General features: G+C 36.6%; 1 long non-coding RNA gene across 3 annotated transcripts in view; it reads left to right on the top strand.

Annotated features, from left to right (window-relative positions):
• The window catches only part of LOC105379102 (uncharacterized), a 328753-nt gene extending 312404 nt beyond the window's left edge, over positions 1–16349 (top strand). Inside the window, exons 6-7 of one of the 3 annotated variants that reach the window (XR_948628.3) lie at positions 6024–6101; positions 10770–14290. This is a non-coding gene — a long non-coding RNA (uncharacterized LOC105379102). Of the gene's footprint in view, positions 1–6023; positions 6102–10769 lie in introns of all 3 variants that reach the window. The other 2 variants (XR_001742829.2, XR_007058891.1) reach the window with 2 other exon arrangements.
• Positions 16350–26824: the final 10475 nt, after the last annotated feature.

The raw sequence follows: 26824 nt of genomic DNA, 5'->3' as shown, positions 1-26824 counted from the left end.
AGTGATATCTCACTGTGGAGTTGTTATGCATTTGCAATTTGATAATGAGAAAGTTTTTTTGCAATTTGCAATTTGATAGTGATAAACTTTTTTTTTTTTTTTTTTTTTTTTTGGAGACAGAGTCTCGCTCTGTCGCCCAGGCTGGAGTGCAGTGGCACGATCTTGGCTCACTGCAAGCTCTGCCTCCTGGGTTCACACCATTCTCCTGCCTCTGCCTCCCAAGTAGCTAGGACTACAGGCGCCCGCCACCAAGCCCGGCTAATTTTTTGTATTTTTAGTAGAGACGGGATTTCACCATGTTAGCCAGGATGGTCTCCATCTCCTGACCTCCTGATCCACCTGCCTCGGCCTCCAAAAGTGATGGGATTACAGGTGTAAGCCACCATGCCTGGCCAATAACTAGAAACTTTTTATGTGCTTATTGGTCATTGTATATTTTCTTTGGGGAATTATCTATTGCTCATTTTAAATTGGGCAATTTGCCTTATTACTGAGCTGTAAGAGTCATTATATATCTTAGATACAAATTCCTTTTAAGATATATGATTTGCAAGTTTTTTTCTCCTATTCTGTGGATGTTTTAATTTGCTTATTTGGTCTATTTCTTTTTAAATAAAATTTCCATTAATATAATTTGCTTATGTTTAATTGCTTATCCTGTTGTCTATTTATTAACTTGTGAAGTCCATTACATAGTTTAGTTACAAGTACTTTGATATATGTTCTGCAAATGCTTTCCCCCACTCTGTGACTTGCCTTTTCATTTCCTAAATGATACATGTTTAAGAGCAAAATACATCATAAGGCATAATATTTATATACTATAAGGCATAATATTTACTTATTCTTCTTATATATATCTGGCTGAATCTGTGTCATTTGATGAAAACATTTTCCTTTTCCCATTGAGTAGCTATGTCAATTTGACAAAAATCAATTGATTATATTCCCAGTCTCTTCAAATATCTCTTTTTTCCTGAATACAATACTTTTTGGTTATAGTATTTTTATTCTAAATCTTGAATTTCAATGAGGTAACTTTTCCAAATTTATTCCCCTTTTTAAATATTCCTTTGGATATTTTAGGTCCTTTAAGTTTTTTAATACATTTTACAGTCACCTTGCTTATATATATATATATATATATATATATATATATATATATATAAATCTTGCTAAAATTTTCACTAGGAATTTGTTGACACTAGAATTCAATATAGGAAAATAGCCATTATAACACTGTTGATATTCTAATCCGTAAACACAGCATAACTTTTCACCTATGTAATTTCTTTCATAAAAATTTTTAGTTCTCAATGTAGAATACAAGTATATTTTTAGATTTACCCTATATAATTTTACTATCATAAATGGAATTATTTTTTAAATATCAATTTTCTGTTTTTTCTGCTACATATACAAATATTATTACAATTAATTTTTATGCTAAACTATGTCCTGTTAACTTGATACAGTCAATAATTTGCTTTCTTTTTTGTATAGTACATTTCCTGAGATTTTTCTGTGCAAATAATCATCACACTCATCTTTGTGCTTATCAACTACCGAGGTAAATTAGGTCATTCACAGCCAGAATTACTAAGAAATTAACTGTTACATATGTTATAACTGATGTTCAACTGATATTTAATGGTGTTTTGAAGTTCTAACCACCACCTTAAAAACCAATATTGCAGAGGATTCCAAAATATATACATAATTTTCTTTTTTTTTAACCTTTATTTTAGGTTCAGGGATACAGGTACAAGTTTGCTATGTAGGAAAAATTCCATGTCAGGGGGTTTGGTGTACAGATTAATTCATTACCCAGGTAATAAACATAGTATCCAATAGGAAGTTTTTCAATCTTCACCCTCCTCTCACTCTTCACCCTTAAGTAGGCCGACAGTGTCTATTGTTCCCTTCTTTGTGTCCATATGTACTCACTGCTTAGCTCCTATTTATAAGTCAAAACATACCATTTGTAAGTGGCATTTGGTTTTCTGCTCCTGTGTTAGTTCACTAAGGGTAATGGCATCTAGCTCCATCCATGTTGCTACGGAGTACATGATCTCATTCTTTTTTAATGGCTTGTAGTATTTTATGGTGTATATGTATCCCATTTTCTTTATCCAGTCTACTATTAATGAATAGTTAGGTTGATTCCATGTCTTTGCTATTGTGAATAGTGCTGCAATGAACATACACATGCATTTATCTTTATGGTGGAACGATTTATATTCCTTTGGGTATATACCCAATAATGGGATTGTTGGGTAAAATGATAATTCTGTTTTAAGTTCTTTGAGAAATTGCAAAACTACTTTCCACAATGGCTTAACTAATTTCGATTCCCACTAGCAGTGTATAAGCATTCCCTTTTCTCCACAACCTTGCCAGCATCTGTTATCATTTGGCTTTTTAGTAATAGCCATCTGACTGGTGTGAGATGGTATCTCATTGTGGTTTTGATTTGTATTCATGTAATGATTAATGTTGTTGAGCATTTTTTTCATCTGCTTGTTCACCATATGTACATCTTCTTTGCAATAGTGTCCGTGTGTGTCCTTTGCTTACTTTTTAATGAAGTTGATTGTATTTTGCTTAATTTGTTTAAGTTGTTTATGGATTCTGGATATTTGGCCTTTGTTGGATACATAATTCATGGAAAATTTTTCCCAGTTTGTAGGTTGTCTGTTTACTCTGTTGATAATTTCTTTTGCTGTGCAGAAGCTCTTCAGTTTAGATACCATTTGCCAATTTTTGTTTTTGTTGCAATTGCTTTTAGCTTTGTGGCTGGAGAAAGTCTTTCCTTTCCGTATTTAGCACTCTCTTCAGGGCCTCTTGTAAGGCAGGTGTGGTGAAAACAAATTCCCTTAGCATTTGCTTGTCTAAAAAGAATCTTATTTCTCCTTCAATTATGAAGTTTAGTTTGGCTGTATATGAAATTCTTGGTTGGAATTTCTTTTCTTTAATAATGCTGAATATAGGCTCCCAGTCTCTTCTGGCTTCTAGGGTTTCTGTTGAAAAGAACACTATTAGCCTGAGGGGGTTTCCATTGTAGGTTACTTGCCCCTTCTCTCTAGTTTTCCTTTCTTCTTCTTTTGTTTTTACTTTGACCTTGGAAAACCTGATGACTGTGTGTTTTGGAGATGATCATCTTGTGTAGTATTCACAAGGCTTCTCTGCCTTTCCGGAATTTGAATATTGTCCTCTCTAGTGAGGTTGGGCAAATTTTCTTAGATGATATCCTGAAATGTGTTTTCCAAGTTGTCTACTTTCTCTCTCTCTCTTTCCGGGAAGTCAATGAGTCACAAATTTGTGTTTTTGTTTTGTTTTTTTACGTAATCACGTATTTCTTGGAGGTTTTGTTCATGCTTCTTTATTGTTTCCTCTTTATTTTTGTCTGACTGAGTTGTTTTGGACAATCAGTCTTCGAGCTCTGAGATTTTTTTCCTCAGCTTGTTTAATTCTGCTATTAATACTTGCAATTTCATTCTGAAAGTATTGACGTAAGCTTTCAGCTCTGTCAGATCAGTTTGGTTCTTTATAAAAATGGCTGTTTCATCTTTCATCTTCTGTATCATATTATTGTATTTCTTAGAATCCTTGGATTGGGTTTTGACTTTCTCCTGAATCACAATGATCTTCGTTTCTATCCATATTCTGAATTCTATTTCTAACATTTCAGCCATTTCAGCCCAGTTATCCATTGCTGGGGAACTAGTGCAGTCATTTGGAGGTAAGAAGAAACTGGCTTTTTGAGTTGCCAGACTTCTTGTGCTGGTTCTTTCTCATATATGTGGGCTGATGTTCCTTCAGTCTTTGAAGTTGTTATACTTTGGATGGGCTTTATGCTTTTATCTTCTTTGAGGCTCTTTGGGATTTGATTGTGGTATAAGGTGGGTTCAGTTGACTAACTTCGTTTCTGGAAGATTTTAGGGGGGAAAGAATCAACTCAGCACTCCTGAGCAGCATGCTCTAATTCTGGGCGCGGGGGTGCGGGGGATGGGTAGTATCAGCCCATGGCTTTGTCCTTTGGCCCCTTGAAGTTAGGAACCTGCTATGCTGGAGGGGCCAAGAGTTCCCAACCACTGGCCACAACACTTCAATGGTTGGTTTCAACCAAAGTGCTTCGTCAGAATGGTGGCAGCTGGATCTGTGCTTATTCACATGTGCCAGTGGTGGCACCAATGCAGCAGGGTGCATGCTCATTGGCTGGAGCAGGACACTGGCAGGCAGGGCTACTAGCCTCCATGTGTGCGTTCCTGCTGCTGGCAGTGGCGGCCACATTAGGGGGGCTGGATGAGATAAATATTTCCAGTAATAATTTACATTAACATTTCAAATTAATAACAGACACCAAGCCACAGATTGAGGAAGCTCAAAAAGAACACTAAGTGTGAAAAATAGCAAAAAAATTCACATGTAGACATATCGTACTAAAACTTGTTTATTATTTGGCCCACAATAATGTAAGTACCATAGTAGTAGGGCGTTTTTCTCTTTTGTTCACTGCTATATCCCAAGGATCTAGGATTGTGCCTGTTACACAGATACCATTCAATAAATGGTGAATCTATGAATGAATTAACCTCCATACATGAAGAACTCTTGCATCCACAGACTTTCCCATTCACTCAACATCCTACTGTCACACACGTTTGCACCCAGGTTTTTACTAAGTGGGGCTGCCTTTCCTGTTTTCATGTACTGAGAAGCCAACAGTGGTGTTCCTGGACACACAGTTCTGTGCAGGGGGCTTAGCCTAGGGTTTTGCAGGAGTGGCTTTCCATGAGCCCTACTCTCAGAGGCTGGGATTGCTACTTTATTTTTAACACAATACAAAGTTTTCCATATTGATATGATGACACAGAAAATTCCTAAGCCAGAGTTCATAATTGGGATTGGGAAATGGTAATAACCCAAATTTTGGGAACTGAGAAATTATAATTTCAAGTAAATTTTTCAGAAAAATTTCATTTCATTTGAATATTTTAAAATAAATGATTTTTTAGTGATTGAACATTACTACTGCCTCAAAAATAATTTTAAAAACTATTTTTGAAAAACATAGTAATATTCTTGCTTTTGTTGTTAAATAAATTATCTTAATGTTTGGTTCCCATAAATTTCAATTAAAGGAGATTACATTTATCATACTGATATTTTTATTCATTAAAAATGCATTTCTCACATTAATTTCCACCAAGACATACAATTATTGATCCTATGATTATTGATTTAAAAACTTTCAATGTTTTGAGATAAAGCATTTTAATCCATTAAGGTAATATGTTTAATCAGAATGCCTGTGCTCCTCCCACAGCTCTCACATCTGAACTAGCACATGGATTGATTCATTTATATGACCACTAATAATTTTGTGATTTAAATCTCTTCCATCTTTACTTATCTTTAGAGGCTGACATTATTTATGCTCTCCACACTATTGAGAAAGGAGGCAGCTAGAGGCTGTTTAGGCAGATAAAAAGGGAGGGTCTTGGGAGAAGAGCAATGTTCATAGGAACATCCGCGGGACAGCACCTACACTGCCTCTGCAGCTAATGGGAAGAAACATGGTTAAGAAATTCCCCTTATGCTGGAATGTTCTTCAGAAGGGACTGTCCTAACTTAGATGCAGGCACAATAAGTCAATCTAAATGTCCTTAATTTGATCCAACTCATTATAATGTCATTAACATGATATTAGCGTTGCGGTTTTATCTCCCATGTGGGTTTCACTTAGGCACTCATGAGTAATAACCAAGATGGAGTCACGCTGGCCAACTGCAGGCATGCACAGTTACAGCACCCTTAGGAGGAAACTTTACCCCTATCGTTTTGGGCAGAATCCCCAGAAGGCTTCCTTGTTCTTGCCACATAAAAGACCCAGAACTCAGCCCCATTTCTGGCCACCTATTTTCAGGTTTCTTCTGTTTGCTGAGAGCTATCCTTTTTTTTAAGAATCTCTACTCTACTCACTCTTGGGTGTCTGCATGCCTTATTCTTCTTGGTTGTAGAACAAGAACTCGGACCTGGCTGAGCTAGAGACTAAGCAGACTGCAATATTTGGGACCTCATCTGGGATTGTCAGAAGGGTGAGTCAGATCAGACTTCCAACTCTTTACTTTCATTTCTGAGGCTTCTTATCCTTTTTTTTCTTTTTCCTCAAGATCAAATAAAACACCAGGCCTCTGTCAGCCAATTAAGAGCAAATATCATGGCTGCTGGACTTAAGACTCAGAGGTCAGACTTGCTGGGGAGGATTTTGTCAATCTCCCAACACCCTTGAATGTTGGAAATGTTGGCTTTATCCCAAACCAATTTTCCCTCATGGAGGTCTAGCTGTCACATGGGATTAGGAGGTCCTGGGGCAGCTGAGAGTATCTGGATGAGGCTAAACCTCCAAGTCACCCAAAGGTCCCTAGATTAAATCCATTCCCAGACAGCCTGTTAGGGTGTTGGCACCAGGACTTCCAGTCTTTTCTATCACATTTTTTTTCTTTCTCTCTTTCATGGCTGTTATGGCTCCTATCTCTTCTTTGTATGCAATGTTGTGGGTGTTTTTGCAACCTGGAGATACAATTTTGTTGGCTAAAGTCAGCAGGTGCCTTAGCAATCAGCAATGCAGCTCAAAGGGTTGTTGTTTTTGTGATTTCCCTGAGACACGGGGATTTCAAGATTTCAGTCTAAGGGCTTCTCTGTCCCCCTATGATGTCTATACATGGGACTGAATAGGGGGATATTTCACCCTGAGTAGCTACCCTCCTCTCCATTTAGGCTTTTCTTTCTTCATGTGAGAACTCAGCACTGTCCAGTGAATTTAAGCATCCCTTCTATAAGACAAATTAATTTTCTTCTGCTAGGAGACATATTGTGGGGACAGCCTATCAAGCCCCAAACCTCTCTTTCCAACCTCTGCCTAGAAAGTATTTGGAGAAAACGTTACAGCTTAACATTTCAATCCTTATCAAACCACCAGATGAGGTAGGATTTCTTTCCCTAGGGGGCCCTATCAGCCCTCTTCTCCAAACCCTTAGTTTTCCAATTACACACCCTCCTCCAGCAGCCCATCAGAGACCAAGTCCCTTGTCACATTTGCAAATGGAAAATTTACTGTATCATAGGGAGGAAGAAGAAAGCCTATCTAGACTGATGTTTTCTGCTATGTTGTCTCCGCAGAAAGGAGGCAACAAGCCCAACCATTACGGCCTTTTGAGACATCTGTTATGTCTCCAGTTGCAATGGCGTTTATACAAAAGAGAGGAATTATGTTTGGAGATGAATCATTCCCAAAGATGTCTGGATCAGGATGTCTTGTTTTGCCCCAATCTCACGGACTTCTGTCCATAAAGAAAATCCAGTCAGAGTTTTCTAAGTTTTCCTCAGATATTTTTTTCTGAAAACAGTGCAATGCAAATAAAATATATTTAACGTGTAAAGTATTGTTTAAAGGAAACTCTCTCTCTTTGAAAGTTTTATCTTGCTCAATCTCATGTTAAAATGTTATTTTTAAATAGTTTGCCTTATTAACATAATTGAGGAAGAGCTTAGCATCTTTCTTTGGGAAAATAGCTTCAGTGATCTTTTGCAAAAAAGAGTATGACCTGACAGGTAGAACCAGTTAGTAACATACTTCCCGACATCTGTATCAAAATCACATGCCTGTTATAAAGGTAATTTTAGAATAGTCAAATTTGTGAATGTTTTTTATATTTTTGATGAGTTCTGATTGTCTTTTTGTATTTTGATTAGTTCTATCTGGCTGGTTAGTGTCTTTTCTGTATTCCATATTTTCAGTAGTCTTGTTGTTATAAACTGTCCACGATGGTTAATTCCATTAATATTTTAAATGATCCCTACTAATGACTGATTAATACTTCTTTATTGCTCCTTTGGCAGCTCTATAGTATCTTTCTTAAGGATCAATTTCAGAATTAACAATTGCACATCAAATCACTGCTTTACATGATTTCCAAGAAAGGTAAATCTTCCTCTCTTTACTCCTTTAAGTACTAATTAAAATAACAATTACCACTTGAGATAATTAAACTTCTTTGTTACCAGCACACCGTTAGTTTTTCTACAAAGTAAAGAAAAATATTTCAAATATAATGTTGTCAGAGCCAAGGTAGTATATTTTACTCTAGATTAATAAGAAATACAGCATCATGATATCAGAAAAATACATAGACTAGAATGCAAGGATTTATGAATTGTTCTCTGTGAGTACTACAGGATATTGTTGAAACTGCATTATAACATTTACATATTTCTGTCAATTTAACTGCTTAATGAAACAATCACAAAAATCTTAGAGTCAAACTGAATGTACAGAATAAGAAAGGGGTCTGAAGATGAGAGAGAAGTTTGGAGTAACTTGGGAAAAAGAGTATGTTTTTCTTTTATGTTTTGAATCAGTTTTTTTTTTTTTTTTTGAGTCTGAGTTTTGCTCTTGTTGCCCTGGCTAGAGTGCAATGGCACAATCTTGGCTCACTGCAATCTCCGCCTCTGGAGTTCAAGTGATTCTCCTGCGTCAGCCTCCCGAGTAGCTGGGATTACAGGCTCCCACGACCACGCCTGGCTAATATTTTGTATTTTTTAGTAGATACGGGGTTTCATCACATTGGCCAGGCTGGTCTCAAACTCCTGATCTCAGGTGATCCACCCGCCTCAGCCTCCCAAAGTGCTGGGATTACAGGTGTGAGCCACCACGCCCAGCCTGAATCAGTTTTTTCAAAATGATGTGGACTTTGGATTTTGTAGAGAAATATTGGAAAATAGAATTTGTGTTATTGTCTAAACTATTTAGATATACTTTCTATTTCCTGTGGAGCACGAATCGGAGGTCTTAGACTTTTATCTCATGTTATAAACAGATTTAGATCAACATCTAAAATGGAATGGGACGGCATTCATCATGGTTCTGGAAAAGAAATTAGACATTGCACTTACCTAATTTCATCAATTTTTTCATATTTCTTTTGAAAATCAAGTATGGAGAACAAAAAGAAGAAAGGTGGGGTTTAACTATCAACTGAAAAGGCCAGAGTAGCTTTAAGGTTGATGTGATGTAGTTTTCTAGTCAGACTTCCATAGGAATTTAGGTAGTAGCTTACCAACACCTAAATTATTAGAGTTCACATTCCATCCAGGAATATAGACTGGCCTTCATAAAATACATGTAACTGAACTAGTTCTTCTGCTGTAAGCAGCTACAAAACTGGACAAAGCATACGAGGTATCTGGTTTCAGGAAGTGGACAACAGTCAGTGGAAAGCTGCAATCTCTGAATTTCAAAAGTGACGTCAGGATTCCAGAGTCAGTCTAGTCTTCACCTGGAAACAATTTTCTTAGGTCTATGTAGAGATTTTCCTTTTTGCAGAGTGAGGCAGCATACTGTACTGAAGGGGATGCTGTGCAGAAACTGAATTTCAGAAGTCAGGATGGAGGTTCCTTGTAAGTTCATGACTAAAATCTGGGCTGCACATTTGCAGGGTGAGACCATTCATGTTACCAGAATGTGACTGGTCAAGGATAGAGAGAGGAACAAATTTTAGAAAATAAGGGCTATAGTGGATTACCTGTGACCTATTCAAAACCTCTTTAAATATCCTTGGAAACTGAAAAAGCCAAACCTTAACAGTCAGCACCATATCTTAGAGTAAGGCTTACTGTGTTAGTTTTCCGAGGCTGCCATAACAAAATACGACAAATTGCATGGCTTAAAAAATAGAAATTTATTGTTTCACATTTCTGGAGGCTAGAAGTTCAAGATCAACGTTTTAACCGAGTTGTTTTTTTTTTTCTGAGGCTGTCGGGGAGAATCTGTTCCATGCCTCTCTCAGTCTCTGTTAGTTTGCTGGCAACCTTTGGTACCTCTTGTCTTGTAGATTCATCCCCTCATCTCTGCTTTCATGTTCACATGTCATTCTCCCTGTGTACATTTTTCTGTGTCTAAATTTACCCTTTGTATAAGGATGCCAATCCTATTGATTTGGAGCCCATGCTACATCAGTATGACCTCATGATAACTTGAGTAATTACATCTGCCATGGCTCTGTTTCCAAATAAAATCACATTCTGGGGTATTGGATGTTAGGACTTCAGTTTCTGAATTTGGAGGGGACAGAATTCAACCCATTATCAAAATTGCCATATTTTACCAGATAAGTCTCCTAACTGAAAATCACTATAATTCAGTCTGATCATCTAGAAAGTCATTTAAATTCCATGTGTGTATATGAAAACATAAACATCTATTATGTAAATATATATTTCGTGTATACTCCATATTATTTAAATATAGAGTAAAAGTATATCCATTTCAGACATATCCAGGGATATGGAAGTGGGTACTGTTTTAAATAATCTTTTATATGAATGAAAAATTAAAGCAAAAAGAAAATATTATACAGAAGTTGGTATAGTAAGCATATTTTAATTGATCAACTGAGAATTGTACAATGATTGTAAGAACATAGGTTGTAGTTCTTATCTAAACAAAAAGACAGAAGCAAGACACAGAGCATAATTAGACCAACTTTGTATTCAAAAAAGGAATAATGCTAGTGATACCATTTGGCTCTGTGTCTCCAACAAAATCTCATCCCAAATTGTAATCCCCACATGTTGGGAGAAAAGCCTGTTGGGAGTTGACTGAACCATGGGGTGGACTTCCCCTTTTTCTTCTCGTGGCAGTGAGTCAGTTCTTACAAGATCTGATATTTTGAAATTGTATGATACTTCCCCCTTTACTCTTTCAGTCTCCAGCCGCCATGAGAAGACATGCCTTGCTTCCCCTTCACCTTCTGCCATGATTGTAAGTTTTCTGAAACGCTCAAACCATGCTTCCTTTTAAGCCTGCAGAACTGTGAGTAAATTAAACCTTTTTACTTATAAATTGCCCAGTATTGGGTATTTACTTATAGCAGTGTGAAAATGGACTAATACAGTCAGTTTACTTCATTATTTCTTTTTCTTTCCCAGCTTGTGGATAAATCATGATAGCTCTGCCACTGATTTGCCATGTGACTTTGAAAGTGTTACGTTTCTTCCTTCAGGAGCTCTTGTAGGGCAGACCTGGTGGTGACAAAATCTCTCAACATTTGCTTGTCTGTAAAGTATTTTATTTCTCCTTCACTTATGAAGCTTAGTTTGGCTGGATATGAAATTCTGGGTTGAAAATTCTTTGCTTTAAGAATGTTGAATATTGGCCCCCACTCTCTTCTGGCTTGTAGAGTTTCTGCCGAGAGATCAGCTGTTAGTCTGATGGGCTTCCCTTTGTGGGTAACCTGACCTTTCTCTCCAGCTGCCCTTAAAATTTTTTCCTTCATTTCAACTTTGATGAATCTGACAATTATGTGTCTTGGAGTTGCTCTTCTCAAGGAATATCTTTGTGGTGTTCTCTGTATTTCCTGAATTTGAATGTTGGCCTGCCTTGCTAGGTTGGGGAAGTTCTCCTGGATAATATCCTTCAGAGTGTTTTCCAACTTGGTTCCATACTCCCCGTCACTTTCAGGTACACCAATCAGACATAGATTTGGTCTTTTCACATAGTCCCATATTTCTTGGAGGCTTTGTTCATTTCTTTTTATTCCTTTTTCTCTAAACTTCTCTTCTCACTTCATTTCGTTCATTTGATCTTCAATCACTGATACCCTTTCTTCCAGTTGATCTAATCGGCTACTGAAGCTTGTGCATTCATCATGTAGTTCTCGTGCCATGGTTTTCAGCTCCATCAGGTCCTTTAAGGACTTCTCTGCATTGGTTATTCTATTTAGCCATTCACCTAATCTTTTTTCAAGGTTTTTAACTTCTTTGCAATGGGTTCGAACTTCCTCCTTTAGCTCCGAGAAGTTTGATCGTCTGAAGCCTTCATCTCTCAACTTGTCAAAGTCATTCTCCATCCAGCTTTGTTCCATTACTGGTGAAGAGCTGTGTTCCTTTGGAAGAGGAGAGGTGCTCTGATTTTTTGAATTTTTAGTTTTTCTGTTCTGTTTTTTCCTCATCTTTGTGGTTTTATCTACCTTTGGTCTTTGATGATGGTGACGTACAGATGGGTTTTTGGTGTGGATGTACTTTCTGCTTGTTAGTTTTCCTTTTAACAGTCAGGACCCTCAGCTGCAGGTCTGTTGGAGTTTGCTGGAGGTCTACTCCAGACCCTGTTTGCCTGGGTATCAGCAGCAGAGGCTGCAGAACAGCGAATATTGCTGAACAGCAAATGTTGCTGTCTGATCGTTCCTCTGGAGGTTTCCTCTCAGAGGGGTACCTGGCTGTGTGAGGTGTCAGTCTGCCCCTAAAGGGGGGTGCCTCCCAGATAGGCTACTCAGGGTCAGGGACCCACTTGAGGAGGCAGTCTGTCCGTTCTCAGATCTCAAACTCCGTGCTGGGAGAACCACTACTCTCTTCAAAGCTGTCAGACAGGGACATTTAAGTCTGTAGAGGTTTCTGCTGCCTTTTGTTTGGCTATGCCCTGTCCCCAGAGGTGGAGTCTACAAAGGCAGGCAGGCCTTCTTGAGCTGCGGTGGGCTCCACCCAGTTCGAGCTTCCCACCCACTTTGTTTACCTACTCAAGCCTGGCACCCCTTCCCCAGCCTCACTGCTGCCTTGCAGTTCGATCTCAGACTGCTGTACTAGCAATGAGTGAGGCCCCATGGGCGTGGGACCCTCCGAGCCAGGCATGGAATACAATCTCCTGGTGTGCCATTTGCTAAGACCATTGGAAAAGATCAGTATTAGGGTGGGAGTGATGCGATTTTCCAGGTGCCGTCTGTCACAGTTTGCTTGGCTATGAAAGGGAATTCCCTGACCCCTTGCGCTTCCTGAGTGAGGCGATGCCTTGCCCTGCTTTGGCTCATGCTTGGTGCACTGCACCCACTGTCCTGCACCTACTGTCCGACAAGCACCAGTGAGATGAACCCAGTACCTCAGTTGGAAATGCAGAAATCACCCGTCTTCTGCGTGGCTTACACTGGGAGCTGTAGACTAGAGCTGTTCCTATTCGGCCATCTTGGAACCACCCCCCAAAACCGGTACCAGCCACTGCAAAAACATGCCAAATTGTAAAAACCATCAATGCTACGAAGAAACTGCATCAAATAATGAGCAAAATACCAGCTAACATCATACTGACAGGACAGGATCAAATTCACACATAACAATATTAACTTTAAATGTAAATGGGCTAAATGCTCCACATAAAAGACACAGACTGGCAAATTGGATAAAGAGTCAAGACCCATCAGTGTGCTGTATTCAGGAAACCCATCTCATGTGCAGAGACACACATAGGCTCAAAAAAAAAGGGATGGAGGAAGATCAACCAAGTAAATGGAAAGCAAAAAAAAGCAGGGGTTGCAATCCTAGTCTCTGATTAAGCAGACTTTAAACCAACAAAGATCAAAAGAGACAAAGAAGGCCATTTCATAATGGTAAAGGGATTAATTCAACAAGAAGAGCTAACTATCCTAAATATATATGCACCCAATACAGGACCACCCAGATTCATAAAGCAAGTCCTTGGAGACCTACAAAGGGACTTAGACTCCCACACAATAAAAATGGGAGACTTTAACACCCCACTGTCAACATTAGACAGATCAACGAGACAGAAAGTTAACAAGGATATCCAGGAACTGAATTCAGCTCTGCACCAAGAGGACCTAATAGACATCTAAGAACTCTCCACCCCAAATCAACAGAATATACATTCTTCTCAGCACCACACCACTCCTATTCCAAAATTGACCACATAGTTGGAAGTAAAGCACTCCTCAGCAAATGTAAAACAACAGAAATTGTAAAAAACTGTCTCTCAGACCACAGTGAAATCAAACTAGAACTCAGAATTAAGAAACTAACTCAATACCGCTAAACTACATGGAAACTGAACAACCTGCTCCTCAATGACCACTGGGTACATAATGAAATGAAGGCAAAGATAAAGATGTTCTTTGAAACCAAGGAGAACAAAGACACAACATACCAGAATCCCTGGGATACATGTAAAGCAGTGTGTAGAGTGAAATTTATAGCACTAAATGCCCACAAGAGAAAGCAGAAAAGATCTAAAATTGACACCCTAACATCACAATTAAAAGAACTAGAGAAGGAAGAGTGAACACATTGAAAAGCTAGCAGAAGGCAAGAAATAACTAAGATCAGAGCACAACTGAAGGAGATAGAGACACAAAAATCCCTTCAAAAATCAATGAATCCAGGAGCTGTTGTTGTGAAAAGATCAACAAAATTGATAGACTGCTAGCAAGACGAATAAAGAAGAAAAGAGACAAGAATGAAATAGATGCAATAAAAAATGATAAAGGGGATATCACCACCAATCCCACAGAAATACAAACTACCATCAGAGAATACTATAAACACCTCTATGCAAATAAACTAGAAAATCTAGAAGAAATGGATAAATTCCTCGACACATACACCCTCCCAAGACTAAACAAGGAAGAAGTTGAATCCCTGAATAGACCAATAATGGGCTCTGAAATTCAGGCAATAATTAATGGCTTACCAACCAAAAAAAGTCCAGGACCAGATGGATTCACAGCCAAATTCTACCAGAGGTACAAGGAGGAGCTGGTACCATTCCTTCTGAAACTATTCCAATCAATAGAAAAAGAGGGAATCCTCCCTAACTCATTTTATGAGGCCAGCCTCATCCTGATACCAACGCCTGGCAGAGACAAAACAAAAAAAGAGAATTTTAGACCAATAACCCTGATGAACATCGATGAAATAATTCTCAGTAAAATACTGGCAAACCAAATCCAACAGCACATCAAAAGCTAATCCACCATGATCAAGTGGGCTTCATCCCTGGGATGCAAGGCTGGTTCAACATATGAAAATCAATAAACATAATCTAGCATAGAAACAGAACCAAAGACAAAAACCACATGATTATCTCAATAGATGCAGAAAAGGCCTTTGACAAAATTCAACAGCCCTTCATGCTAAAAACTCTCAATAAATTAGGTATTGATGGGATGTATCTCAAAATAATAAGAGCTATTTATGACAAACCCACAGCCAATATCATACTGAATGGGCAAAACCTGGAAGCATTCCTTTTGAAAGCTGGCACAAGATAGGGATGCCCTCTCTCACCACTCCTATTCCTATTGGAAGTTCCTCACCACTTCCTATTGGAAGTTCTGGCCAGGGAAATCAGGCAGGAGAAGGAAATAAAGGGTATTCAGTTAGGAAATGAGGAAGTCAAATTGTCCCTGTTTGCAGATGACATGATTGTATATCTAAAAAACCCCATCATCTCAGCCCAAAATCTCCTTCAGCTGATAAGCAACTTCAGCAAAGTCTCAGGATACAAAATCAATGTGCAAAAATCACAAGCATTCTTATACTCCAATAACAGGCAAACAGAGAGCCAAATCATGAGTGAATTCCCACTCACAGTTGCTTCAAAGAGAAGAAAATACCTAGGAATCCAACTTACAAGGGATGTGGAGGATCTCTTCAAGGAGAACTACAAACCACTGCTCAAGGAAATAAAAGAGGATACAAACAAATGGAAGAACGTTCCATTTTCATGGGTAGGAAGAATGAATATCGTGAAAATGGCCATATTGCCCAAGGTAATTTATAGATTCAATGCCATCCCCATCAAGCTACCAATGCCTTTCTTCACAGAATTGGAAAAAACTACTTTAAAGTTCATATGGAACCAAAAATAGCCCGCATAGCCAAGACAATCCTAAGCCAAAAGAACAAAGCCGGAGGTATCACGCTACCTGACTTCAAACTATGCTACAAGGCTACGGTAAACAAAACAGCATGGTACTGGTACCAAAACAGAGATATAGACCAATGGAACAGAACAGAGCCCTCAGAAATAATACCACACATCTACAACCATCTGATCTTTGACAAACCTGAGAAAAACAAGAAATGGGGAAAGGATTCCCTATTTAATAAATGGTGCTGGGAAAACTGGCTAGCCATATGGAGAAAGCTGAAACTGGATCCCTTCCTTACACCTTATACTAAAATTAATTCAAGATGGATTAAACACTTAAATGTTAGACCTGAAACCATAAAAACCCTAGAAGAAAACCTAGGCAATACCATTCAGGACATAGGCATGGGCAAGGACTTCATGTCTAAAACACCAAAAGCAATGGTAACAAAAGCCAAAATTGACAAATGGGATCTAATTAAACTAAAGAGCTTCTGCACAGCAAAAGAAACTACCATCAGAGTGAACAGGCAACTACAGAATGGGAGAAAATTTTTGCAATCCACTCATCTGACAAAGGGCTAATATCCAGAATCTACAAAGAACTCAAACAAATTTACAAGAAAAAAACAAACAACCCCATCAAAATGGGTGAAGGATATGAACAGACACTTCTCAAAAGAAGACATTTATGCAGCCAACAGACACATGAAAAAATGCTCATCATCACTGGCCATCAGAGAAATGCAAATCAAAACCACAATGAGATACCGTCTCAGATCAGTTAGAATGGCAATCATTAAAAAGTCAGGAAATAATAGGTGTGGATAGGATGTGGAGAAATAGGAACACTTTTACACTGTTGATGGGACTGTAAACTAGTTCAACCATTGTGGAAGACAGTGTGGCGATTCCTCAGGGATCTAGAATTAGAAATTCCATTTGATCCAGCCATCCCATTACTGGGTATATACCCAAGGACTATAAATCATGCTGCTATAAAGACACATGCACATGTATGTTCATTGCGGCACTACTCACAATAGCAAAGACTTGGAACCAACCTAAATGTCCAACAATGATAGACTGGATTAAGAAAATGTGGCACATATACACCATGGAATACTATGCAGCCATAAAAAAGGATGAGTTCATGTCCTTTGTAGGGACATGGATGAAGCTGGAAACCACCATTCTCAGCAAACTATTGCAAGGACAAAAAACCAGACAGCGCATGTTCTCAGTCATAGGTGGGAATTGAACAATGAGGACATTTGGACATAGGAAGGGTACATCACACACCGGGGCCTGTTGTGGGGTGGGGGGAGGGGGGAGGGATAGCATTAGGAGATATACCTAATGTAAATGATGAGTTAATGGGTGCAGCACACCAACATGGCCCATGTATACATATGTAACAAACCTGCACATTGTGCACAGGTACCCTAGAACTTAAAGTATAATTAAAAAATATATATATATATAAATAAACACAACAAAAATGAAAAGAAAAAAAAGAATGTGTTACATTTCTCAACCTCAATTTCTTCATGAAATACTAAAATGTGTGCCTTTTTGCAAAGTCACTATGAAGATTAAAATGATGTGTATAAATATTTATTTTTAGCATAATGCATGAGATGTAAAAGTCAACATATGGTGGTACAAGATAGACTGATATCATCAGCATAGTTACTTATTTGGCTGTGTGGTTTCAGAAGGGAAGGACTGTCATTCTCAGCGTCATTTTTTTTAAGGGTACAACAGGCTATTTGTTTCTGGGGAATAATCTATGACTTTGAACATAAAGATCTATTAAGAAAGGCAGAGGCTATAGACCAGATCATGAAATTCTTACAGCCATCTCAAGTAAGGTTGAGGTTATGTGAAGAAAATCTGGAAATTCCTATCCTGCTTTCAAAATTTAATCAGGTATAAAATCAATTATATTTCATGGAAATCGTGCCAACCTAAGAAATTACAAACTTTTCCTTTACTGCGTCAACCACTTTGCTCCTTGGACAAGTTACCTACATTCCCTAAGACCAGTTTTCCTATCTGTGAAATACGCCTTATGTGCTTGGTAGGCATTTGACACCATTACTGCTTAAAGAAAGCTATTTTTATTACTGTTTATTTTCTATCCCCATACTCTGACCTTATATGTAGCCTATTCAACAGCAAAATTCAGGTAAAAGTCCCCTCATAAATACCCTGGTACTTTTCGATGTTCTGCTTTGGCTCTCTCATCGATAAATTCACCCTCTATTTTTTAGTATTTTATCTTAGGTTGGCATTATCTCTCAGATCAAATAAATTTTGTGAGGTTGTTTCACTTTGCCAAGAAGTACTCATTTTATTTCTCCCAAACTTTACTCCCTAAATATTCAATATGATAGGTGTTGGAAACATAATTTTTAAAGTATTTCATTAAAAACAGCTGTTAATAATAGCTTCAACAACTACCATCTTAAAAGAACAGCCCACCCACCTCTAAATTAAGCACCTGGAACAATTTCTGAGGATTCATTGAAATCAAAGGGCTGTGTGGAAATAAACGTCTTCTAGGAGCAAACCTAGCCACTCAACTAATACAAATTAACACTGAAGAGGATAAGATCAACATACCGTTAACTTTTGATATCTAGCACATTATATAAATTACATCTTGCAAAGTGATGGTGAAAACCATTCCCTGAATTACCTTTCATTTTCGAAATTTAGATCTGAATAAATCTGAATACAACTAGTTAGGATGGCCTCCCAGCCTCACTGCACTGTGTTCTTTTCCCTCTCAAATGGAAAGATCAGATTTTTACTTTATTACAAATGTATTACTTTCCCCTTTAAATATATCTGGCGTTTTATTCAAAAGCGTGATTACATCATCTTGGAGCTAGCTTTTCTTCTCAGGAAAATGTCTGTTATTTCGTAGTCAGGTCACTATAAAAATACTATTTTTGGCGTATTATTTTCTTGCCAGCCTTTTCTGATTTCGCATAATACGTTATTCCATTATTAAAGCTTTCCTGGAATGACACATTTTTCTCCAAATAAAAGTAAAGTGCCAAAATCTTGTCTGTATCTAGATATTATCTAAATAATATCTAAATAAATGTAATTAGATATTATCTGCCTGTTTTCACTTAACTCAAAGTACTTTTTTTTTCTAAATCAATATAGGCTGTAATATTGGAAATGAAAAATTTTGCTTTGAAATAAAACTGGGTACCAGTTTTCATTACTCACAGAGACTTTATAGGAAAGATAATCAAGTTTTAAAATATCTCTCCTTTGAAAAAAATTTAATGCTAACACAACTAGAAGCTAACTAATCAAAAACAATCTTTAATATTGTATAAAAATTTCAAATCATTTCATGAGGAAAAGACCCATGACCTAAGAAAATTCTATTTTAGGAATAATTTATCAACATAAGAAGCAATTGGAAACAAACAAAACTGTCAGTGAGTTCATATAGTTGTAGAAAAAGTTGCATTCATATACAAGAGATTTAATAGTTTACTTTTAATAACATTATGCATTTGAAAAAGCTTGATGATTATCTATTTGTAAAATACGCAATTTCAAACTATTACATAAATTCAACACATTATCACTGTATGAATTTATGAGTTTTAGCAATATTCAAATTAGTCTAATCATAGCAATAATGAATATTATCCAAGTTAAGTATTTATTAGTAAAATAAAATCTTTCATCTTCGTCTAACATTATAGGATATTTGATCATGATTTTAGTTTAATTGGGTCTGTATATATCAGAGTGCCATGGATTTTTGTCTAAATTTAAGTTGATATTTATCTTCCTGTTTCTGTGTATCTGTGTGTGTTTTTAGCACCTATTTTTCACTTTAATAGTAGTTATCAAATGTATTTCATTTATTTACTTACATGTTGACCATTCTTTCCCATTAGTATTCACAAAGGAAAGTCCTCATTATTCACATCATCGTGCCTGCCAAAGAAAGACCACAGTGTGGTTCTTCTCTAGTTTCTTCATGTCCAGTCTGTGATGACATTTTTCAGGATTTCAAATATGCACTTTATCAAAGGCCAACTGGAAACAAGCCTGGGATGTATTCTAAGGCCCATTTCATGTGCCTCCAAATTCTTTGTTCTTTATATAACATCAGTTTTCTCACCCATTTTCCAGAATTTTTATCTTCTTGTTCTAGAGACGTTATAATTGAAGAAGAAATTTTGGATCATTCAGTATGATCATTAATATCATTTCCTTATGCTTATACTTCCGGTTATATCCAACCAATTACACATTACAACTTACACATTACATACACATTACAACTATGGGCAGGAGCTGCCTCAAGTCTGCACCTTGTTAAGTGCCCCTGGAATCCTGCCTAACTGAACTTAAAATGCTACTTATTTTAACACTAGGCCTAACTCTAATACCATAGTTAGACTGAAACTACATTGTGCCACTCATCTACACAAATTATGTTTTTTAAGTTAGTAAATAATTGCATTGTGAGTTATTTTCAATGTCAAATAGCCCATAGCAATTTGAAAAATTGCTACATGTTGGCTATGTAATCATATAAATCTTTGAGTGATACAAATTAAAAAAAAGAACAATTACTTAATTAGTATTATTTTATATTTAGAAAAATGAGTTCTAGATAAATAGGTAACATGATATAAAAAGTTAATTTTTTAAAGTAGATAGCTCAACAAAATGGAAAATGCATTAAATGAAGTTTATAGCAGGATGGTGTAACAAGTATATAAATTTAAAATTAAATTAGAGATATGAAATATAACATGATATAAAATAATGTTTTTATGAGACACAAAAGAAATTCTGAAACTTCTAATGTCCCTCTGCCTGTCACCTGTACTTAGATAGGAGTTTTCAACAAACCATAGCACTCAAATTTTTACCTCTAATATTGTCCTTACTATGAGACAGCAAAATTAATGCTTCAGACAAAAGAAGTCAAGATAATCCAGGGATTTCTCATTACTGAAAGAATGAAAAGATAATTTCAAATATGTCTAAGATACTACCAATAAGAATGAGGATGTCAGACTATCAGAGTCCCTGTCAACCTAATAATAATAATTTGAGCCTCATGAAAAGAAATAATAATTTCAGTCAGTTGTATCAAGTTGATTCTTTATAAGGGCCTAAGTCCATGATGACACTCACAAAAGACAAATACCTTAAAATTTACTAATGATGAATCATACAGAATTTTCCTAAGTATATATTTTTAAAATATTGCTGTATGATTAAAATAAATTATGTAAGTAGGCTATTTAAGTTTTTGTTATTGCCTGGTTGAGAATATTCAGGGTATGTGGCACTTGTGAGAAAATACATAATAAAGGTAACATTTTAAGATATTTATATTGCTTGTTAATGTTAATAAAAACTGTAAGAATACGTGGAGCCATATCAAAGATTCTAATAAATTAATACTATAGCATCAATATCATAGATGCCATAATTTGTTTTTACCAAAACATCAGAGGTTCAGTCTAAGTCCCGTTGCTCACATCACAGAAAGCCAATTCCTGAGACAATGTGTATTTCCAGGGAAGAAGGCTTTATTTGGGTGCTGCAGCTGAAGAGATGGGAGATCAGTCTCAAATCTATCTCATTAACTGACTAAAACTGGGAGTATATAACAGGGAAGGAATGTAGCTACCTGTGGGAAAACAAAATTTAGGGAGGAATAAGGAAGAAGAATTGATCAACAGGAAGCCAGTGGTCAGTTAGGAAAACAGGAATTACAAGAAGTTTCAGTTCCTTGATAGTATCAGGGAAGGCTGAGGTTGGTTTCCTGTGAAAGGAACTCATGTAAAACAAATGTATATTTCAAGCCTTAAGACTGGAAGATTAATTTCTACTTTTTTTATTAAACCATAAACATTAGTTCTATGGGACAATTGACTGAGTTTCAAAATCACATAAAATTAGCAAAATATATAATATAATAAAACAGAGTATGTCAGGAGTTTACACCTTCATTATATTATAGATATCAAAACAACTAAAGAACTCAACAATAAGTTAGTAACTATCTTTTAAGACAAAATTAAACAAATGCAGTAAAATAGCTTGCTGAAGTTTTCACAGTATCTCACAACTAGTGAGAGGTTTCATGTTCCTGATCTTTCTTCCTGTCAGAAATAGGGACACACTTATACAGCACACTTTACCCCATAGAGCCTTACAGGATTTTTATCTGATGTTCTGCCAGGCGTATAAAACTGGTTTGAACTTTAGTTTCATTAATATTCACCTTGCTTTAGTTTTTCTGAAAAGATTCTAGGAAACCTTAATTATGCTGAATAGTATTAAACTTGAGGTAGAGAACAAGGTTTCTAGGATAAATTAAAGATGGAAAACTGTAAGTTAAACTAACTTCAATTTTTATATTTTGTTTCAGAGTTTATTGAAGCTTTAATAATTTAATATTTGTTGAATCTTCAAAGGTATTAATGAACCGCAGAATTGTGTTCTACTTTGAGAATCTTGAGGAAATATATTTTTGCAAAATGCACTTTATAAAATTGTTTTCATTTATTGCACAAAAGGCACAGTATTCTAAGAATCAGATTAGTAACACACTTTGCAACTTATATTTCTGCCATTTCTGAGATTGAAAGAAAGTTTTGTGGTGTGTAGAGTGCTCAGGATGCTTGTAGGATTGCACTGGCATCAACCTAGCTATAAAAGTTTATTTAAGAAAATTTTTAAAGGAAATTTTTAATAAAAAGAGAAACTGCATACAATGCAATTTACCTGTTTTTTTCTAATACAGCATTCAGTACTAAAATTCACTTTATGCTCCAATGTACATTTTACAGAGCTTAATGTACATAGAATATATAATAAAGAGTAATTTCTCTTCTGATTTATTATTTATTTGAGATCCATAACAGTAAACATGGCTTTCTCTAAAAGTATATTTTATATTATGCCAGACTAAGATTTTTAAAATTTACCAAAGTTAAGACTTTTTCTAGAAATACATTATAATAGCATCAGGAATCTAATTGGAAGTTACATTAAAGAGAAATAACATTTTCTCCCTCTCTAAAAGCAAAAAGTAATACTTGTTTTGGATTTGCAATTCCATAATGTTCTTTATCTGAATACTTCAAATGCTCAGCGTGTGATTATAAGGGCATCAGGTTTACACAACAGGCTTATGAGAAGAAGGATTTTGTGTAAATGAAAACATTGTATGATTTCAGAGAAAATTTGTTTTCAAAGTATTTGAATATGAGCTGGGAGTCTGTGTTTTGTTACTGTGATTATAATAAAGGTAGTTTTTATTATCTGCCTAGTAACTTTCAGGGGATTAATGACTCAGCAAGAATCAGGTGTTTCGACTTGTATTCAACATGACAGCAAACATTTAGTTATTTAAAGTAAAATACTAAATACAGGAAGATAGGCCAAAAGTTTTAATACTTAGTAGTAAAAACTCTTCTGTGACTTCTTTAACTTCTTCAGTACATCTAGTTTTATGGGCCTTAGGACAATTCAGTGTGGGCATCATACCCTGTCAGGAAAATGGAATCAGCTTGTCCTGAGTACTTTTATCCAGTAAGCTAGATCATATGGCTCTCCATAACAGTGAAACCATGTTCCAGAGACCTCATTTCTGTGTTCTTGGTGTTAGATTTATAACCATGCCACATGTTTTGTAATTTTTCAACTTAACATAAACTCTTGCACATTACATAGGATTTCTCACATACACAAGTTTCTAAGGTAAGGGCTTTGCAAGCAACAGTTTGGCTATGGCCCACCACACTGAGTAATTGCTAACATTATATCTAATATTTTATAAAGCACTTTTGTCAAGTTCCTTTATATTTTGAATACAATAGTTTTCCTGAGAAAATCAGCCATTATTAGCCCAGAACAATGCTGCATGTACATTAACCAAAGATGGTTCTGAATAGATGTTTATCTTGGATGAAAAGAAGACAAAATTAAAAGTGGCAACAGTGTGAGTGGGACAAAATTTAGCTATGCTCTGCCCTATTTTTCTATCATCAATTTAATGTATTTTTTAAATGGAATAGTCTGAGTGGATTTACTAAACCTAAATGAGTTCAAGGACAGGAAGAGCTAAAACAGGAATGAAGTTCCAGATGGTGAGTGTAGCACCTGCCTGCCAGCACCTGCAGCTTTGATCTTAGTGTGGGATTGGCTGTTCCTATCAGTGTACACCAGAAAGCAAACTAACTCGTAAACAGAGAGCACACAGGGCCTGCCCAGGCGTGTTTGTTTGTATACTGCTTATTTAACTGCTATACATTGAAAAGCATAAGTTCTACATTTTTCTTCTTATTGTAAAATATCAAGTATATACCAAATATGTAAACAACACTTTCACACATCAGTATTATCTTTCAACCCTTGCTATCCTCCAAAGGAATATTACCATTTTACAGATGAAGCTAAATTAGGCTCAAATTAAGCAATTCGACCGAAATCATTAAAATTAATAAGAAAAAAGAGGAAGAGTTGTTATATTAATAAAGATGCCAAAGTTGGCTCTCTTTCCTTTATAACCTAATCCTTCCATTTATTCATACATTGACTATTTGCTGAAGACTAACCGAGTATTCACCTCTGAGCTAAGTGAAAAAATGTATGTGACAGTTACAATAAGCACCCTTCCAGGAGCTCTTGTCTCTAATTCTATTGCTAACAGAGGGCCAATGTCATTTGAGGCATCCCCAGGGAATGTTTTCCTGGAGTCATAATAACCCCACTCCTCTTTGGTGGCTACATACTTTTCCTACTTCCCTTGCAGCTATAAGCAGCCATGTAACCCAGTTATGGGCAAGGAGACTTTTGTGAAGCATTGTTTCTTTGACGAATAATCGTACCCTCTCAAGGAGAATGTATTGCTCCAACCCTTTCTTTCTGCTAGGTTGCTGGAGTATGAAGATGTTATGTGTAACTGTGGCAACCACCTTTTTGTGATAATGAAAGACAAAGATGATAAGCCAACAGTTTGAAGAGAGTGAAGAAGACAGAATGGGTTGATGATATCATTGAAGCACTAAGTAAAGTCTGATCTAACCTCTAAATTAATTCTAATTAACCTAAACCTAATTAGGTTAGGAAAAACATCTCCAAGAGTGACATAGACCTGAAAGATCAATAAGGATTAATTAAAAAGAAAGAGCAGTTCCTCCCAGGCAGCAATGTAGCATAGTGCGTTTTAAGAATTCAAATATATGATGTTGTGCAGTAAGGGTTTAACCTTGACAAAAGGTTTGGCATTTTGCCCTCAGCCTCTGGGAGGCCTAATCTCAAAATCTTCATAAAATCCTGCCTGTAATGAATAACTCTTTTTACCAGGGGGTCTTGGCCCATGCCATGTGGTCTGTGCAAACAGTGTAATTTATGGTGGGGCCTTGGAGAGGCTGGAACCTCTGGAGGGCCTTGAAACTAATGTCAGCCATGTGAGCAGTCAACCATGTCTATGTGACATAACCAACAAAATCTCTGGCGCCAGGTGATCATCCCCGGTTGGCAACATTCTATGATGCGTATTGTCTCACATAGTTTCTGAGAGAAGTAAATTCTGTGTGTACAACCTCACTGGGAGAAGACAATGTGAAGCTCCACACTGGGAAACCTTCTGGTTCCCACCCCACATGCTTCTTGCTTTTCTGATTTTAATACATATCATGTCAAGGTAATAAACTGTAACTTTGAGTAAAACAGTTTTCATTGAATAATGTGAGTCAATCTAGCAAATTACTAAACCTGAGGGTGGTCTGGGGGAACATCAAATTTGCAGTTGTGCCAGAAGTAAGGACTCTTTGGGAGACACCTATACTTTGCAGATGGTTTGCAGATTATACACAGTAAAATTTTAGGTCAAAAAAGCAGCATTATTTACATTTTTTATTATATCTGGTTCTTGTGTTTTTATAAAGAGTTATTTTTGCGATGGCTGGAGATAGTATATAGAATTATGTAAACTTGACTATTAAAGAAAAGTTTTTCTGCTTTAATTTTAGTCTTTTTTTGATTAATCTATATGCCCAGAAAATTTTAAAGAAGGATTCTTGTACTAGTTTGCTGGGATTGCAAACAAAGTAACACAAACCGTGTGGCTTAAAACAACAGAGATTTACTGTCTCACAATTCAGGAGGCTAAAAATTCAAAATCTAGTTGTTAGTGGGGCTATGAACCTTGGAGCAAAAAATCTTTTCTTACACTTTCCTAGCTTCTGGTGATTTGCCAGAAGTCCTTGGCATTCCTTAGCGTGCAACTGCAGAACTTTAGTCTCTGCCTCTATCATCACATGACATTCTCCCCTCTGTGTCTGTGTCTAAATTTCCCTCTTATGAGGACTGCAGTCATGCTGAATATCAAGGGTCCACTCTACTCTATGATGATGATATCTTAGCTAATTATATCAGCTATGATGCCATTTCCAAGTGAGTTCACATTCTGAGATACTGGGGTTTAAACATGCATTTCGGGGGGACACAATTCAACCCATAACAGTTCTCATATTTACTTTACCTTTATCTATTCATAGGGCATTGTGATACATGGAGAGTTGTATGTGTTCTAATGGTGACATCTAGCCCAGCTATATTCAAAACTATGGCTATGGGGACTTAATGGAGTGCTCACGTTTGGCTGAATGTGAAGACTTTAAATTAGGCTATCACATTTCCCTCAGGCTCCAGTCTATGAAGCTATTAGGGTTTCATCACAAATCTAAGTTCCTGTAGAAAATCTCTATCTACTTTGGAGAGTAGTAGAGAATAAAAAGTAAGAATACTTGGTTGGAATCTTCTATTTTCTATCCTCCAGGTTCTGTTCCATTTCCAATGGAGCGAGCAGTTTAGGATGACATTGCATATACATTGTATGGTGAGAGGGCAGGGACTATGACTTTGTTCCTGGAACTGAGTAGTTACAAATTCAGCTCTGCACTGGATGGTGAGAACATAGTTACTATGGATATATTCATTGATAATAATTCTTCACTTATTTTTCAATCTTCTGAAATGATAACATCCTTTACTGGATCAGATGCATAGGATCAAAATAAGTAAAGTATG

The sequence above is a fragment of the Homo sapiens genome, chromosome 5 (genome assembly GCF_000001405.40).
Source record: "Homo sapiens chromosome 5, GRCh38.p14 Primary Assembly".
In the NCBI taxonomy this organism is placed as follows: Eukaryota; Metazoa; Chordata; class Mammalia; order Primates; family Hominidae; genus Homo; species Homo sapiens.
This window is presented reverse-complemented; position numbering and strand designations above follow the sequence as displayed.